Raw genomic sequence first — 18,023 nt, forward strand, 5'->3', positions numbered from 1 at the left:
GACTCCAGTGAGAAGTGCTGAGATGGGGCTGGGCTAGGGAACTGTGGTTGCCTGGTGCAGCAGCAGGCCAGGCTTGCAACCAGCTATTCGGCTTGCTCTGCCCAGGAGCCTGGGTGCTCTCCCTGGGTGTATGTAGGGGCTCTGGAGGATGTCTTACAGCAGGAGGACCAGAGATGCACACAGACATGTAGAAATGCATGCACAGAGTACAGTCATGCACTTGCACCCAAAACACGAGCACACGTGACCTCTGTGCACACACCCCACTAATCACACACACAGAATTCACCCACATGCTTGACAGCCATGTTCATGTACTGACGTGTTCCCGACAGCTCAGCTGCGGTTATTTATTTCGTCAATTAGCTCTCCAGGAGCTAAGGATGTGGCCCTCACCAGAATGTCCAAGGCATGTTGGCGGGCGTGGGTGGGGTCTCTAGTCCCACTGGAGGGACAGATGCCTGAATGGGGGTTCAAGAATATGAGTGCTAAAAGCGTAGGGCAGCAGTGTGCGCACAGGACGCACACAGACAGGTGTGCCCATAACCAGTACACACAAGCTCTACACAACTGGACAGGGTACAGCTCTGCTCGGACAGGGCGCACCAGGGGCGAGGGCGGGCAGCTGGGCTGGTTCAGAGGGAGGGGGCCATGGGTTCAGAGGGAGGGGACCATGGGTCCCACTCTCACAGACAGGTCTCCGGACTGCATCAGAGCACTCGGGAAGCAGCAATGCCCCAGGCTGTTTTTAGCCCCCAGGGGCCAGTTAGGGTCCCAGTGCAAGCTCGACCTAGCTTCTTCCGCCTCTCCACGAGGAGGCGCTCCCGCGCACGCGCCTACCACGTTCCTGCCCCCTAGCCGCGGCCGGAAGTCGTCGAACCAGGACGTCGGGACTTCCGCCCAGGGAATCAAAAGTGGGCGGGGCGTGTGCGGACTGAGCGCTCTGCTTCCGGGGCGCGGGTGACGCGACGACGGCGACACTTTGCTACGGAGTGCATCGGACGTCGAAGCCTAGAGTCTCTGCGTCTTTCCCTCTTCCGCTGCCTCATTCCTTTCCTTCCTAGCCTTGGTCGTCGCCGCCACCATGAACAAGAAGAAGAAACCGTTCCTAGGGATGCCCGCGCCCCTCGGCTACGTGCCGGGGCTGGGCCGGGGGTGAGGCCTGGGGCGGCGCGCGAGGGGCGGGGACCCGGCTACAGGAGCGCAGTGCTTTGGGGCGTGTTTGGGGGCGGGGGTCTATGGCCGCGCAGTCTGAAAGACGCTTGGTGGATCGGCTTAATCCCTGCAGGAAGCAACGGGCTTTGGGGTCAGGACATACCTGTGTGTGCACCCTGCTTGCCGCCTAGATGTGACACATTGACTCTCAGCCCAGTGTTTTGGTCTGTAAGATGGGTAATGCTGTATACGGTCTGCAGTGAGGAGTAGAGGAATCTGACGTGTAGTGGAAACACGCGACCACCTTCCTCAGGTCGGGCTGACACTCCCCCCCCCCGCCCGCCCGCCCGCCCCGCCTTAAGCGTGCCTGGGTCCTCTATGCCTGCAACACAGATGACCACCGTGCGTTGCTGGATAAGTGAGCAGTCGTTATTATCCTATTTGGCTATTCATTTGATGAGGAACACTACTGGGTTTTTCTTGGTGGTGGTATTATATTGGAATCTGTGGGGCACACACAAGCTCACTAAGGAGGGTTTGCTATTACCATAAATAAGTACGTAAAGAGGACCAGATTTAGAACCCAGTGCTTAATGGAGAGTAGCATTGGAGCCAAGTTTAGTAAGAGAGCTGGACTTAGGGCTGTAGAAACGGTGACGATAGAAGAGAAACTGACATTCTGCGTGTGGGAGTTCAAAAAAAGTGAGGCAAGGAGGAAGCCCAGGGAACAGGAGGGAGTCCAGTGTGAGTGGAATGTACAGCGAATAGAATAGAGCTCAGGAGGTTGGAGGGGCCTTGAGCGTCAGGCTAGAGCTCCTGGAGACGTTAGAAAGATCATGACCCTTCAGAATTATTATTATTATTATTATTTTTTGAGACAAAGTCTTGTTCTGTCGCCCAAGCTGGAGTGCAATGGTGCGATCTCAGCTCCCTGCAATCTCTGCCCCCCGGGTTCAAGCAGTTCTCTGCCTCAGCCTCCTGAGTAGCTGGGATTATAGGTGCCCGCTACCACGCCCGGCTAATTTTTGTATTTTTAGTAGAGACAGGGTTTCACCATGTTGGCCAGGGGGGTCTTGAACTCCTGACCTCATGATCCACCCGCCTCCGTCTCCCAAAGTGCTGGGATTACAGGCGTGAGCCACCACGCCCGGCCCAGAATTTTTTACTCAGAGCTGTGTTTTGGGAAGAATCATCTGGCAGAGCATGGGTTGAAGTAGAGGAAGGCTAAAGGCAGGGAGAGGTAACTTGGTTTCCAGCTGTGATGGGAGTCATAGTCTGGGAAGGAGGGATTTTGAAAGTGGATTCATTAGTACTTGGGGACAGACAGGATGGGGAAAGTGGGAGAGGGAGGCAAAAATTACATCATGGTCCCGTGGCATCTGGGACAGCTGTTATCAGCTGAAACCCCCCAGAGCAGCTGTAAGGTGGGCACGGAAGAGCTCAGTGTGGGCCAAGTTGGGTTTAAGGGCCTGGTTGGATGTGGAGGGGGAGATGATCGAAGCCTTAGGGTGGAGAGAGATTGCCTTGGTAACATCATCAGGGTAGGCTGAAACTTTCAGGTAAGCAGAGAAGATCAGAAGTGTTTGAGACTGCAGTTCATTGTCACCAGGATCTTTGGAGGTTTCCCAAAGGTGTTAGAAAAAGAGGTGTTAGTAAGTGATAACCAGGAGTGGAGAAGAGCACAGGAACAGAGTTATTCAGACACCCGGTGTCTTGGGGGTCTCCTGCAGCGCCACTGGCTTCACCACGCGGTCAGACATTGGGCCCGCCCGTGATGCAAATGACCCTGTGGATGATCGCCATGCACCCCCAGGCAAGAGAACCGTTGGGGACCAGATGAAGAAAAATCAGGCTGCTGACGATGACGACGAGGATCTAAATGACACCAATTACGATGAGGTGAGATGTGTCCGGCTTTCGTGGCTCCTCCAGCCAGTCTCTGGGAGCAGCTGACCTAACCAGTGTGTGTTGGTGTCTGTAATGAATGGCTTGGAGTGGCTCATGCATTTAAATTTTAGCTATTCATGGAACATCTTTACTGAGAGTGAGAGGGAGCAGGAAAAACACGGAGAAATGTGCACTTTTTGTCCCTCAGAAGAGATGTTCTTGCAGGTGTTAGGACCACTGCCTTGGCATTTTCTATTGCCCAGTCTTTTTTTTTTTTGAGACGGAATTTCGCTCTTGTCGGAAGAGATGTTCTTGCAGGTGTTAGGACCACTGCCTTGGCATTTCCTATTGGCCAGTCTTTTTTTTTTGAGATGGAATTTCGCTCTTGTCGGAAGAGATGTTCTTGCAGGTGTTAGGACCACTGCCTTGGCATTTCCTATTGGCCAGTCTTTTTTTTTTTTTTTTTTTGAGACGGACTTTCGCTCTTGTTGGCCAGGCTGGAGTGCAGTGGTGTGATCTCAGCTCACTGTGACCTCTGCCTCCCCATTTCAAGCGATTCTCCTGCCTCAGTCTCCAAGTAACTGGGATTACAGGCATGCGCCACCATGCCTGGCTAATTTTGTATTTTTAGTAGAGACAGGGTTTCTCCATGTTGGTCAGGCTGGTCTCGAACTCCTGACTTCAGGTTGTCCGCACGCTTCGGCTTCCCAAAGTGTTGGGATTACAGGCGTGAGCCACTGCGCCTGGCTGCCAGTCTTTAATGATAAAAACTTAAAGTGGAATTGGTGATAGTATTTGCTTTTTTTAGCTTTAGTGATTGCCCTCTAAACAGACATCTAAAGAAAAACTTCAGCTGACTGAATACCGATTAACTGTCTTCTAACAGATGACATTTTTCCTCTGAGGAAAATTTTTAAAAATAATTTTAGTTTTGAGGCCAGGTGCGGTAGCTCACACCTATAATCCTGGCACTTTTGGAGGCCGAGGTGGGCGGATCATGAGGCCAGGATATCGAGACCATCCTGTTTAACATGGTGAAACCCCGTCTCTACTAAAACTACACAAAAATTAGCCGGGCATGGTGGCATGTGCCTGTAGTCCCAGCTACTCGGGAGGCTGAGGCAGAAGAATGCTGTGAACCCGGGAGGCGGAGGTTGCGGTGAGCCAAGATTGCGCCACTGCACTCCAGCCTTGGCGAGAGTGCGAGACTCTGTCTCAGAAAAAAAAAAAAAATTAGTTTTGAAATAATTTTAAATTTGCAGGAATTTGCAAAAATAGTGCCCCCCCAAAAAAAAGTTTCTGCATGTCTTTCACCAAGCTTCTCCCGATGTTACATGACCTTAGTGCAGTTATTGAAACGAAGGAGTTAACATTGACACAGTACTATTAACTAATTTGTCAGTCGTATTTGCATTTCATGTTTTTCCATGAATGTCCGCTTTCTGGCTTAGGCTTAGTCCAGGATCCCCCATTGCATTTCGTCATGTCTCCTTGGTCCCTTCCAATTGGGGGTCTCCTCTGTCTTCCATGCCCTTGACGCTTGAAGAGTAGTCACCAGTTATATGGTAGACTGTCCCTTGATTTGGCTTCGTTGGCTGAAGAAAATAATTTAGCAAGTATTTCACAAGTAGAGATCTCCGTTTCGCTGGTGGGGATGGTGTTGAAGGAAAAGCTGACCTCTACACGTGTTGTTTGCTTCTCAGTTTAATGGCTATGCTGGGAGCCTCTTCTCAAGTGGACCCTACGAGAAAGATGATGAGGAAGCAGATGCTATCTATGCAGCCCTGGATAAAAGGATGGATGAAAGAAGAAAAGAAAGACGGTAAAAGAAATTGTTGCCTTTCACAATATTTATCCAAGTTTAAAAAAAAGTTTTGTGGCCAGGCGCAGTGGCTCACGTGTGTAATCCTAGCACTTTGAGAGGCTGAGGTAGGACGATAGCTAGAGCCCAGGGGTTTGAGACCAGTGTGGGCAACGTAGGGAGACTTAATCTCTACAAATAATTTAAAAATTAGCCAGATGGTACACACCTGTAGTCCCAGCTACTTGGGTGGCTGAGGTGGAAGGACCGTTTAAGCCCAGGAGGTAGAAACTGCAGTGAGCCATGATCATTCCAGCCTGGTTGGCATAGTGAGACCCTGTCTCAAAAAAAAAAAAAAGTTTTGTTTTGAATTGTTTTATATTTGGAGAAAAGTTGCAATAGAGTATGTGTGTCTGCTTAGCTTTTAGGCCACCTGAGGGTCTTGGTCTGTCGTAGCCATGCCTGGATAAGCACTGGGCTGTTACAGAACAGCCTTAGGGCCTGGGGGCTGCAGTGGAGAGCTTAAGAACTCTTAAGTTTTTCCAGAAATCAGCAGAATTTTGTGGATTACTTTTACGATACATCAGGGTTACCATCTTTGAAATGAAAAGGGCCTACTGACTTGATTATTATATGTTGAGTAATTTGCAAATGAATTAAAGATGTTAAATGACACATACAAGCTACCAAGATTGAACCATGAAGAAATCCCAAACCTGAACAGACCAATAAAAGGTAATGAGATCAAAGCTGTAACAGAAAGTGTCCTAGCAGAGAACATCTCAGGATCTGATTGCTTCATTGCTGAATTTTACCAAATATTTGAAGAAGAACTAATACCAATTCTACTCAGACTATTCTGAAAAATAGAGGAGGGAATACTTCCAAACTTATTCTACAGAACCAGTATTACCCTGATACCAAAACCAGACAAAGACACACTGAAAAAAGAAAATGTTAGGTCAGTATCCCTGATGAACACTGATGCAGAAATCAGCAGAATACTAGCAAACCATATTCAACAACACATTAGAAAGATGGTTCATCGGCTGGGCGCAGTGGATCACGCCTGTAATTCTAGCACTTTGGGAGGCCGAGGTGGGCGGATGATGGGTCATCTGAGGTCAGGAGTTCAAGACCAGTCTGGCCAACCTAGTGAAACCCAGTCTCTACTAAAAATACAAAAATTAGCCGGGCATGGTGGGTGGTGTACGCCTATAATCCCAGCTACTTGGGAGGCTGAGGCAAGAGAATCGCTTGAACTCGGGAGGTGGAGGTTGCAGTGAGCCGAGGTCACAACACTGCACTCTAGCCTGGGAGACAAGAGCAAGACTCCATCTCAAAAAAAAAAAAAAAAAAAGATCGTTCATCATGACCAAGTGGCATTTTGCCCAGGGGATACAAGTGCAAGGGTGGTTCAACATATGCAAATTAATCAGTGTTATACATCATATCAACAGAATGAAGGACAAAAACCATATGATCTTTTTTTTTTTTTTTTTGAGACGGAGTCTCGCTCTGTTGCCCAGGCTGGAGTGCAGTGGCGCAATCTCAGCTCACTGCAACCTCCACCTCCTGGGTTCAAGTGATTCTCCTGCCTCAGCCTCCTGAGTAGCTGGGACTACAGTTGCCCGCCACCACGCCTGGCTAATTTTTTGTATTTTTAGTAGAGACGGGATTTCACTGTGTTAGCCAGGATGGTCTTGATCTCCTGACCTCATGATCCACCTGCCTCGGCCTCCCAAAGTGCTGGGATTACAGGCGTGAGCCACTGCGCCCGGCCTAATCATTTTAATTGATTCTGAAAATGCATTTGATAAGATTCAACATTCCTTGATGATAAAAACTCTCAAAAAACTGCATATAGAAGAAACATACCTCAGGCTGGGTGTGGTGGCTCACGTCTGTAATCCCAGCACTTTGGGAGGCTGAGGCGGGAGGACTGCTTGATCTCAGGAGTTTGAGACCAGCCTAGGCAAGAGGGTAATACCTTTTCTTTACAAAAAAATACAAAAATTAGCCAGGCTTCGTGGCACACACCTGTAGTCCTAGCTACTCAGGAGGCTGAGATGGGAGAATTACTTGAGCCCAGGAGGCAGAGGTTGCAGTGAGCTGAGATCATACCACCACACTTCAGCCTGGGCCACAGAGCGAGACCCTGTCTCAAAAAAAAAAAAAAAAAAAAGGGGGGGGGAGCATAACACAATAAAAGCTATATACAGCTGGATGGGGTGGTTCACGCCTGTAATCACAGCCCTTTGGGAGGCCCAGGCAGGCAGATCATTTGAGGTCAGGAGTTTGAGACCATCCTGACCAACATGGTAAAACCCTGTCTCTACTAAAAATCCAAAGATTAGTTGGGTGTGGTGGCTCAGGCCTATAATTTCAGCTACTCAGGAGGTGGAGGTTACAGTGAGCTGAGATTGTGCCACTGCACTCCAGCCTGGGCAACACAATGAGACTGTGTCGCAAAGAAAAAAAAAAGCCACATATGGTAGGCCCACAGCTCGTATCATACTGAATGGGGAAAAACTGGAACGCAACAAGGATGCCCACTTTCACCACTGTGATTCAACATTGTACTGGAAGTCCTAGCTAGAGCAGTCGGACCAGAGAAATAAATAAAAGGGCATCCAGATTGGAAAAGAAGAAGTTAAATTATCCTTGTTTGCAGATGATATGATCTTATATTTAGAAAACCCTAAAGACTCTACCAAAACACTATTGGAACTGACAAATTGATTAAAGTTGCAGGCTATGCCCCCAGGTGTGGTGGCTCACACCTGTAATCCCAGCACTTTGGGAGGCTGAGGGTGGGTGGATCACCTGAGGTCAGGAGTTTGAGACCAGCCTGGCCAACAAAGAGAAACCCTGTCACTATTAAGAATACAAAAATGGCCGGGCACGGTGGCTCACGCCTGTAATCCCAGCACTTTGGGAGGCCGAGGCAGGTGGATGACTGGAGGTCAGGAGTTCGAGACCAGCCTGACCAACGTGGTGAAACCCTGTCTCTACTAAAAAAATTACAAAAGTTGCCAGGCGCTGGGACTCACGCCTGTAATCCCAGCACCTTGGGAGAGTGAGGTGGGTGGATCACTTGAGGTCAGGAGTTTGAGACCAGGCTGACCAACATAGTGAAACCCTGTCTCTACTAAAAATACAAAAATTAGCTGGGTGTAGTGGCACACGTCTGTAATCCCAGCTACTCAGGAGGCTGAGGCAAGAGAATTGCTTGAACCTAGGAGGCAAATGTTGTAGTGAGCTGAGATTGCACCACTGCACTCCAGCCTGAGTGACGGGGCAAGACTCTGTCTCAAAAAAAAAAAAAACCAAAAAACAAAAATTAGCCGGGTGTGGGGGTGCACGCCTGTAGTCCCAGCTAGTTGGGAGGCTGAGGCAGGAGAATCGCTTGAACCCAGGAGGTCGAGGTTGCAGTGAGCTGAGATTGCACCACTGCACTCCAGCCTGGGTAACAGAGTGAGACTCCATCTTAAAATAAAAGAAAATATCCATACTACCCAAAGTAATTTACAGATTCAATGCAATCCGTATCAAAATACTGGGGACATTATTAACAGATAGTGAAAAAATAGCCAGGTGCAGTGGCTCATGCCTGTAATCCCAACACTTTGGGAGGCTGAGGCAGGTGGATCACTTGAGGTCAGCAGTTCGAGACCAGCCTGGCTAAACCCCATCTCTACTAAAAATACAAAAATTAGTTGGGCATGGTGACAGGTGCCTGTAATCCCAGCTACTTGGGAGGCTGAGGCAGGAGAATCACTTGAACCTGGAAGGCAGAGGTTGCAGTCAGCTGAGATCGTGCCATTGCACTCCGGCCTGGGCAACAGAGTGAGACTCCGTCTCAAAAAAAAAAAAAGAAAAAGAAAAAATAATTCTAAAATGTACATGGAGCCAAAAAAGACCCAGAATAGGCAAAGCTATCCTGAGCAAAAGGAACAAAACTGGGGGAACACTTGACTTCAAATTATACTACAGAGCTGTAGTAACAAAAACAGCATAGTACTGGCAGAAAAACAGACACATAGACCAATGGAACAGAATGGACCCAGAAACAAATAGGTACCTCTACAGTGAACTCATTCTTGACAAATGTACCAGGAATATTTATTGGGGAAAAGACAATCTCTTCAATAAACGGTGCTGGGAAAACTGGATATCTATATACAGAAGAATGAAACTAGACCCCTCTCTGTCACCACATACAAAAATCAAATTAAAAGACTTTAAGACCTCAAGCTGAAACTACTAGAAGAAAACATTGGAGAAACTCTACAGGACATTGGACTAGGCAAAGATTTCTTGAGTAATACCCCACAAGCACAGGCAACGAACGGAAGCCAGGTGTGGTGGCTCGCTCCCGTGAGCCAAGAGTGCGCTACTGCACTCCAGCCTGGGCCACAGAGACTGTCTCAAAAAGGAAAAAAATAAAAAGTTCTCATTATAGAATATTAGGAAAATAAGAGTAAGTATGGGTAAAAGCATAACATTTATTCATAAGTCTAGAAAGTAACAGTTAACATTTTGGCTCATTTCCTCTTTCTGTTGCTTTTTTTTATCTTGGCTCACTGCAACCTCTGCCTCCCGGGTTCAAGCAATTCTCCTGCCTCAGCCTCCCAAGTAGCTGGGATTACAGGTGCCTGCCACCACGCCTGGCTAGTTTTTGTATTTTAGTAGAGACGGGGTTTCACCATGTTGGCCAGGATGGTCTCAAACTCCTGGCCTTGTGCTCCATCCACCTCGGCCTCCCAAAGTGCTGGGATTACAGACGTGAGCCACTGCGCCCAGCTCTGTTGCTTTTTATACATGTAATCATAACTTCCTGTGATGTATGTAGAATGTTTTATTTTTTGAAGATAATTTTAGAATAGTAAAATATAGTTCTTCTGGAATTTTATTTATTTTTTATTTTTTTGAGTCTCCCAGGCTCAAGTGATTCTTCTGCCTCAGCCTCCCAAGTAGCCGGGATTATAGGCACGCGCCACCACACCTGGCTAATTTTTGTGTTTTTAGTAGAGACAGGGTTTTACCATGTTGGCCAGGCCGGTCTTGAACTCCTGACCCCAAGTGATCCACCCGCCTCAGCCTCCCAAAGTGTTGGAATTACAGGTATGAGCCACCGTGCCCAGTCTTGCCACACACTTTAAACAACCAGATCTTACGTGATGTAAACTTGCTGCCTCGAGGACAGCACCAGGCCATCAGGGGTCTGCCCTCAAGACTCAAGTGGCCTCCCACCAGGCCCCACCTCAAACATTGGGAATTATAATTCAGCATGAGATTTCATGGGGACACAGATGTAAACCATATCCTTTGGCCTCCCAGAGTGCTGGGATTACAGACATAAGTCAATGTGCCTGGCCTGGACATCTTTTTAGAAGCTCGTTATTAAATCATTGTGCATAAATTTTATACCTATAGTAATTAAACGTGAATGGCATTGCATTTCACTTTTTTTTTTTTTTGGATACAGGATCTTACTCTGTCACCCAGGGTGGAGCGCGGTGGCTTGATTATAGCTCCCTGTAACCTTCAATTCCTGGCTCAAGCGATTCTCCTGCTTCAGCCTCCCAGGTAGCTGGGATTACAAGCACGTGCTACCACACCCAGCTAATTTTTCTTTTTTCTTTTTTTTTTTTTGAGATGGAGTCTCACTCTATTGCCCAGGCTGGAGTGCAATGGCGCAACCTCGGCTTACTGCAACCTCCGCCTCCAGGGTTCAAGTGATTCTCCTGCCTCAGCCTCCCAAGTGGCTGGGATTACAGGCATGCACCGCCACGCCCGGCTGATTTTTGTAGAGATGGGTATTTTTAGTAGAGACGGGGTTTCACCAATGTTAGCCAGGCTGGTCTTGAACTCCTGCCCTTGTGATCTGCCTGCCTTGGCCTCCCAAGGTGCTGGGATTACAGGCTTGAGCCACCACGCCAGGCTCACACCCAGCTAATTTTTGTCTATGTTGCCCAGGCTGGTCTTGAACTCCTGGCCTCAAGTGATCCACCTGCCTCCCCTAACCTTGGCCTCCCAAAGTGCTAGGATTACAGGCATGAGTTACTACACTCAGCCCTACATTTTAAAAATTGATTGGAACCTCCAGGGTTAATGCATTTTAAAAAACATCAGGCTGGGTGCAGTGGCTTACATGTGTAATCCTAGTACCTTGGGAGGCCAAGGCAGGAGGACCACTTGAGTCTAGGAGTTCGAGACCAGCCTGGGCAACATGGTGAAACCCTGTCTCTACAAAAACAAAATTAAAATTAGCCAGTTGCACATGCCCGTAGTTCCAGCTACATTCCCAAGGCTGAGGCAGGAGCATCGCTTGAGCCTAGGAATTAGAGGCTACAGTGAGCTATGCTTATGCCACTGTGCTCCAGCCTGGGCAACAGACCAAGGCCGTGTCTCTAAAACAAAAACAAAACAAAAAACAGCAGGTGACACGGACCCATGAAGAAAGCCATTAAATTAAATGTTTTTAAAAAGTAGTGTACTTGGCCGAGCACGGTGGCTCACACCTATAATCCCAGCACTTTGGGAGGCCGAGGCGGGCAGATCATGAGGTCAGGAGATCGAGACCATCCTGGCCAACATGGTGAAACCCCGTCTCTACTAACAATACAAAAATTAGCTGGGTGTGGTGGTGCATGCCTGTAATCCCAGCTACTCAGGAGGCTGAGGCACGAGAATCACTTAAACCCAGGAGGCGGAGGTTGCAGTGAGCTGAGATCGCACCACTGCATTCCAGCCTGGTGACAGAGTGAGACTGTCTCAAAGAAAAAAAAAAAAGTAGTGTACTTATTAAAACTTTTTATTCTGAAAACTGTCGTAATACAAACAAGTAGGAAGAACAGTACTGTGAATACCATATCCTCACATGTAGTCTCAACACCGAAGTGCAATTACATGGGTTATGTTCTGGCACATAGAGCTGTGCAGCTGAGCTGAGTTGGTTAGAGGTGAACTATTTACTTGGAAGAGAAGGAAGCAAGGAAGGAAAGGTGGGATGAGTTCAGTAGAGTGTTTGGAGTGTTTGGTGGTAACTAGGATAGTTACTGTTTTTCCTTGTAGGTGTTTTTTTGTTTTGTTTTGTTTTGTTTTGTTTTGCGACAAGGTCTCGCTCTGTCGCCCAGGCTAGATTGGCTCACTGCAACCTCCACTTCCTGGATTCAGATGATTCTCCTGCCTCAGTCTCCCAGGTAGCTGGGGATTACAGGTGCCCACCACCATGCCCAGCTAATTTTTATTTTTATTTTTATTTTTTTGAGACGAAGTTTCACTCTTGTCACCCAGGCTGGAGTGCAATGGCATGATCTTGGCTCCCTGCAACTTCCACCTCCCAGGTTCAAGCAATTCTCCTACCTCAGCCTCCTGAGTAGCTGGGATAACAGGCATGCGCCACCACGCCTGGCTAATTTTCATATTTTTAGTATAGATGGGGTTTTACCACATTGGCCAGGCTTGAACTCCTGACCTCAGGTGATCTGCCCACCTCGGCCTCCCAAAGCGTTGGGATTACAGGTGTAAGCCACCACGCCTGGCCTTCTTAGGTGTTTATGGGATGGTCCTACCTTTGGGATTTTGTGAATTTTCAAGCAGTAAATATACACATGTCCAAATGGAGGTATTTAGATCAAAGTAAGATCTTTTTTTTTTATTTTAATGAATTTCTACATGTTTTTATTTGGTGGATAATTGAATTAGTAGACTTACGAATGTATTTATATTTATTTATTTAGAGGCAGAGTCTCTCTGTGTTGCCCAGGCTGGAGTGCAGTGGTGCGATCTTGGCTCACTGCACCCTCTGCCTCCTGGGTTCAAATGATTCTGCCTCAGCCTCCCAAGTAGCTGTGATTACAGGTGTGTGCTACCATGCCCAGCTAAGAATGTATTCATAGTTACCTTAAAATATATTTGATTTGGGCTGGGTGCGGTGGCTCACACCTGTAATCCCAGCACTTTGGGAGGCCAAGGTGGGTAGATCACAAGGTCAGGAGTTCGAGAACAGCCTGGCCAGGATGGTGAAACCCCGTCTCTACTAAAAACACAAAAATTAGCTGGGAGTGGTGGCGAGCACCTGTAATCCCAGCTACTTGGGAGGCTGAGGCAGGAAAATCACTTAAACCCAGGAGGTGGAGGTTGCAGTGAGCTGAGATTGCGCCACTGCACTTTAGCCTGGGTGACAGAGCAAGACTCCATCTCAAAAAAAAAAATGTGTGTGTGTGTGTGTGTGTGTGTGTGTGTGTGTGTATATGTATATATATATATATATATTTGATTTAGCTACTAAGAGTATGGAATTGTTCTTTTTGGTGATTTAATTGAGATGGATAATAAATTTGCTTCAGAACAGACATGCAGTGTTTCTGATGTGTGCATGTTTTATTTCCTAGGGAGCAAAGGGAGAAAGAAGAAATAGAGAAATATCGTATGGAACGCCCCAAAATCCAACAGCAGTTCTCAGACCTCAAGGTGAGCCGATGAAGCGGTGAATGGTGTGCGGTTTCTAACGCTCTCACCCTAACCCGCAGAGACTCAGACTGCTCTTACGTGGAATTTATGAGACTTTACGTTTTTAATTTAGGGGGTCATTGCTTAGAAGAAGAAAGTGTTTGCTTCAGTATGTTTAATTATATGTGTGTAAAAAAAAACCCTTCCCCTACTGTAAAAGGTAGGACAAATGAACTTATTTTCTTTGTAATTTTGACTCCATTTATACCTAAGATTTTCTTTTTTCTTTTTTCTTTTTTTTTTTGGAGGCAGTCTGGCTCTGTTGCCCTGGCTGGAGTGCAGTGGCGTGGTCTCAGCTCACTGCAACCTTCACCTCCTAGGTTCAAGCAATTCTTGTGCCTCAGCCTCCTAAGTAGCTGGGATTACAGGTGCCTGCCACCATACCCAGCTAATTTTTGTATTTTTAGTAAAGACAGGATTTCGCCATGTGTACCAGGCTGGTCTCAAACTCCTGAACTCTAGTGATCTGCCCACCTCAGCCTCCCAAAGGGCTGGGATTACAGGCGTGAGCCACCACGTCTGGCCCCATTTATACGTAAGATTTTCTAAACTGTGTCCCCTGGGCTTTGAGAGAATAATTTACATTTTAGTGAAGTTGAACAGATCCAATAAATTGATTTTTCTTTTCTTTTTCTTTTTTTTTTTTTTTTGAGACGGAGTTTGGCTCTTGTTGCCCAGGCTGGAGTGCAATGACGCGATCTCAGCTCACCGCAACCTCCGCCTCCCAGGTTCAAACGATTCTCCTGCCTCAGCCTCCCTAGTAGCTGGGATTACAGGCATGTGCCACCATGCCCGGCTAATTTTGTATTTTTAGTAGAGATGGGGTTTCTCCATGTTGGTCAGGCTGGTCTCGAACTCCCGACCTCAGGTGATCTGCCCGCTTTGGCCTCCCAAAGTGCTGGGATTAACAGGCATGAGCCACCGTGCCCGGCCTAAATTGATTTTTCTAAGTGAAGTAGAAAACTATTTTTGGGGCTGGGTACAGTGGCTCACATCTGTAATCTCAGCACTTTGGGAGGCTGAGGTGGGAGGATCACTTGAGCCCAGGAGTTTGAGACCAGCCTTGGGGAGAACCTGTCTTTACAAAAAATAAAAACTTAGCCAGGCATGGTGGCCCACGCTTGTGGTCCCAGCAACTTGAGAAGCTGAAGTGGGAGGATCACTTGAGCCTGGGAGGTTGAGGCTGCAGTGAGCTGTGATTGTGCCACTGAATCCAGCCTGGGCAACAGAATGAGACCCATCTCAAAACAAAAGTAAAAAACAGTTGCTGCATCCAAATCCCTTCTAAAGCTTGGTGATCTGGAGGCTAGGGGTGAGAGAGGGCATGGTCCTACCTGGGCACATGAAATTCTGTCAGAGAATTAATGTTTTTGGGGGCTGGATATTTCCAGAGGAAGTTGGCAGAAGTCACAGAAGAAGAGTGGCTGAGCATCCCCGAGGTTGGCGATGCCAGAAATAAACGTCAGCGGAACCCACGCTATGAGAAGCTGACCCCTGTTCCTGACAGTTTCTTTGCCAAACATTTACAGACCGGAGAGAACCATACCTCAGTGGATCCCCGACAAACTGTGAGCTTCCAAAAAAGGGCACATGTGGCCCATTTAGTCCTGTTAGATCAGTGGCAGGAATGGTGGGTGGTGTTGGATTCAATGCTTCTGCAGGTCATGGCTATGCTGTGGCCGAGTCTGTCTGCACAGCTGTGCATATGTCAGGCCACTGGGGAAGTATTTCAGAGAGTAAATTTCTTGGGCATGCAGTGCAAACCGTTGTTTTATTCTTGCCTTTCCTCTCTTCCCCTCCAGCAATTTGGAGGTCTTAACACACCCTATCCAGGTGGACTAAACACTCCATACCCAGGTGGAATGACGCCAGGACTGATGACACCTGGCACAGGTGAGCTGGACATGAGGAAGATTGGCCAAGCGAGGAACACTCTGATGGACATGAGGCTGAGCCAGGTGAGTTTGTCACACAGCATTTTCCTGTGGACAGGTTTAGACAGTTTAATTTTGTTTTGTTTTCTTTTTCTCCTTCTTCTTCTTCTCCTTTTTCTTCTCCTCCTTCTCCTCCTCCTCCTTCTTCTCCTTCTCCTTTTTTTTTTTTTGGCTTGATTTTTGCCTGAATAATTCCGCAGATTTTTAAAATTTTGACCCAGAGTCTTGCTGTGTCACTCAGAGGCTGGAGTGCAATGGTGTGATCTTGGCTCACTGCAACCTCCACCTCCTGGGTTCAAGTGATTCTCCTACCTCAGCCTCCTGAGTAGCTGGGATTACAGGTGCCCACCACCACACCCGGCTAATTTTTGTATTTTTTGTAGAGACGGGGTTTTACCATGTTGGCCAGGCTGGTCTTGAACTCCTGACCTCAGGTGATCTGTCTGCCTTGGCCTCCCAAAATGCGGGGATTACAGGTGTGAGCCACTGCACTTGGCCTTTTTTTAAAATATAAAATAATAATTTTTTAAAAAGTGTGTTTTTTTCCTGCCTCTCAGTAAATTGTCTTGTGGCCCTGCATGGAACGTGTACTTTGATCTGGAGACTAGGTGCTCTAGACACCAGTGAAGTACAGAACTCTTTCTGATATGCATATCAGATACCACGAAGGAACATACTACTTTTGGCCTGGCCAACATGGTGAAACCCCGTCTCTACTAAAAATACAGAAATTGGCCAGGTGTGGTGGCGGGCGCCTGTAATCCCAGCTACTTGGGAGGCTAAGGCAGGAGAATTGCTTGAACCCGGGCGTTGGAGGTTGCAGTGAGCCGAGATTGCACCAGTGCACTCCGGCCTGGGCAACAGAGTGAGACTGTCTCAAAATAAAAAACAAAAACAAAAACAAAAAGTGGCACAATCATGGCTGGCTACATACAGCCTTGACCTCCCTGGGCTAAGGCGATCCTTCCACCTCAGCCTGCCAAGTAGCTGAGATTACAGGCATGTGCCACCATACCCAACTAATTTTTGTATTTTTTGTTGAGATGGGGTGTCACTAGGTTGCCCAACCTGGGCTGGAGCTCCTGGGCACAAGTGATCTGTCCGCGCTGGCCTCACAAAGTGCTGGGATTACAGGTGTGAACTACCATGCCCAGCCTGAAATTTGTTTACATAGAAATTGTAAAACTTTTTGGGCCAGGCACTCATGCCTGTAATCCTAGCACTTTGAGAGACCAAGGTAGGAGGATTGCTTGAGGTCAGGAGTTCAAGACCAGCCTGGGCAACATGGTGATGGTGAGACTCTGTCTCTACAAAAACTAAAAGAAATAGCTGGGCCTGGTGGTGCCTGTAGTCCCAGCTGTTCGAGAGGCTGAGGTGGAAGGATTGCTTGAGCTAGGGAGTTTGAGGCTGCCATGAGCTATGATCGCGCCTCTGCACACCAGCCTGGGTTACGGAGTGAGACTGTCTCAATAAATAAATAAAACTGTCACAGTAATTTTTTTGTGGTAAAATATATGTAACACAGAATTTACCATTTTAATCATTCTTGACTGTACATACCTTCACTGACATAATTATGTTCATGTTGTTATACAACCTCATCACCATTCATCTCCAGAACTGTTTTCATCTTCCCAAATTGAAACTCCGTACCTGTTAAACATTGAGTCCCCGTGCGCTTTCTCCCCAGCCCCTGGCATCCACCGTTCTCTCTGTTTCTATAAATGTCACTACTCTCTGGATCTTATATGACTGGAATCATACAGTATTTACCTTACTGTGACAGGCTTATTTCAATTAGCTCATGGTGCAGCATGCGTCAGCATGTTCTTTTTTTTTTTTTTTTTTTTGAGACAGAGTCTCTCTCTGTCACCCAGGCTGGAGTTCAATGGCATGGTCTTGGCTCACTGCAGCCTCCGCCTCTCGGGTTCAAATGATTCTCCCACCTGAGCCTCCCAAGTAGCTGGGACTACAGGTGTGCACCACCAAGCCCAGCTAATTTTTTTTTTTTTTTTTGAGACGGAGCCTGGCACCGTCACCCGAGCTGGAGTGCAGTGGTGTGATCTCGGCTCACTGCAACCTCCACCTCCTGGGTTCAGGTGATTCTCCTGCCTCAGCCTCCCGAGTAGCTGGAACTATAGGCGTGTGCCACCATGTCTGGCTAATTTTTGTATTTTTAGTAGAGACGGGGTTTCATCATGTTGGCCAGGATGGTCTTGATCTCCTGACCTCGTGATCCACTCGCCTCAGCCTCCCAGGATGCTGGGATTAGAAGTGTGATTTTTTTGTATTTTTAGTTAGAGATGGGATTTCACCATGTTGGCCAGGCTGGTCTCGAACTCCTGACCTCCAGTGATCCACGTGGCTCGGCCTCCCAAAGTGCTGGGATTACAGGCATGAGCCCCGGCGCCCCGGCCAGCATGTTCTCAGTTTAAGGCAGGATGAGACTTGACTCTTTGGTGTGTGTGGACCGCATTCGCTCATCTATGTAGACCGCATTCGCTGACCTGTTTATTCGCTGACGGACACTTGGACCACTTTCACCTTTTGACTATTGTGAATAATGCTGCTGTGAATACGGGTGTACAGATATTTGTCAGAGACCCTGCTTTCTATTCTTTCTTTTTTAATAAAAATTTTATTTATTTTTTTTTGAGACGGGGTCTTGCTCTGTCACCCAGGCTGGAGGGCAGTGGCGTGATCTCGGCTCACTGCAGCCTCTGCTT

General features: G+C 47.6%; 1 protein-coding gene across 3 annotated transcripts in view, besides 2 other annotated features; it reads left to right on the top strand.

The window, feature by feature from the left end:
* Positions 26-85: an enhancer, noted in NCBI's record as "active region_18259". NCBI's record gives its function as "activates an Ori minimal core promoter by ATAC-STARR-seq in GM12878 lymphoblastoid cells {active_cell/tissue: GM12878}" and the evidence as "EXISTENCE:reporter gene assay evidence [ECO:0000049][PMID:35858748]".
* The window catches only part of PRPF6 (pre-mRNA processing factor 6), a 51,969-nt gene continuing 34,916 nt past the window's right edge, over positions 971-18,023 (top strand). For all 3 annotated transcript variants that reach the window (XR_007067448.1, NM_012469.4, XM_006723769.4), the window contains exons 1-6: positions 971-1,155; positions 2,886-3,054; positions 4,746-4,864; positions 13,246-13,324; positions 14,755-14,931; positions 15,166-15,321. Coding sequence is in view for 2 of the 3 variants with exons in the window: in NM_012469.4 (NP_036601.2) it covers positions 1,085-1,155; positions 2,886-3,054; positions 4,746-4,864; positions 13,246-13,324; positions 14,755-14,931; positions 15,166-15,321 (771 nt within the window). In the remaining variant the exon portion in view is untranslated. The remainder of the gene's footprint in view (positions 1,156-2,885; positions 3,055-4,745; positions 4,865-13,245; positions 13,325-14,754; positions 14,932-15,165; positions 15,322-18,023) is intronic.
* Positions 1,156-1,265: a silencer, noted in NCBI's record as "silent region_13198". NCBI's record gives its function as "represses an Ori minimal core promoter by ATAC-STARR-seq in GM12878 lymphoblastoid cells {active_cell/tissue: GM12878}" and the evidence as "EXISTENCE:reporter gene assay evidence [ECO:0000049][PMID:35858748]".

The sequence above is a fragment of the Homo sapiens genome, chromosome 20, assembly GCF_000001405.40.
Source record: "Homo sapiens chromosome 20, GRCh38.p14 Primary Assembly".
Classification (NCBI taxonomy): domain Eukaryota; kingdom Metazoa; phylum Chordata; class Mammalia; order Primates; family Hominidae; genus Homo; species Homo sapiens.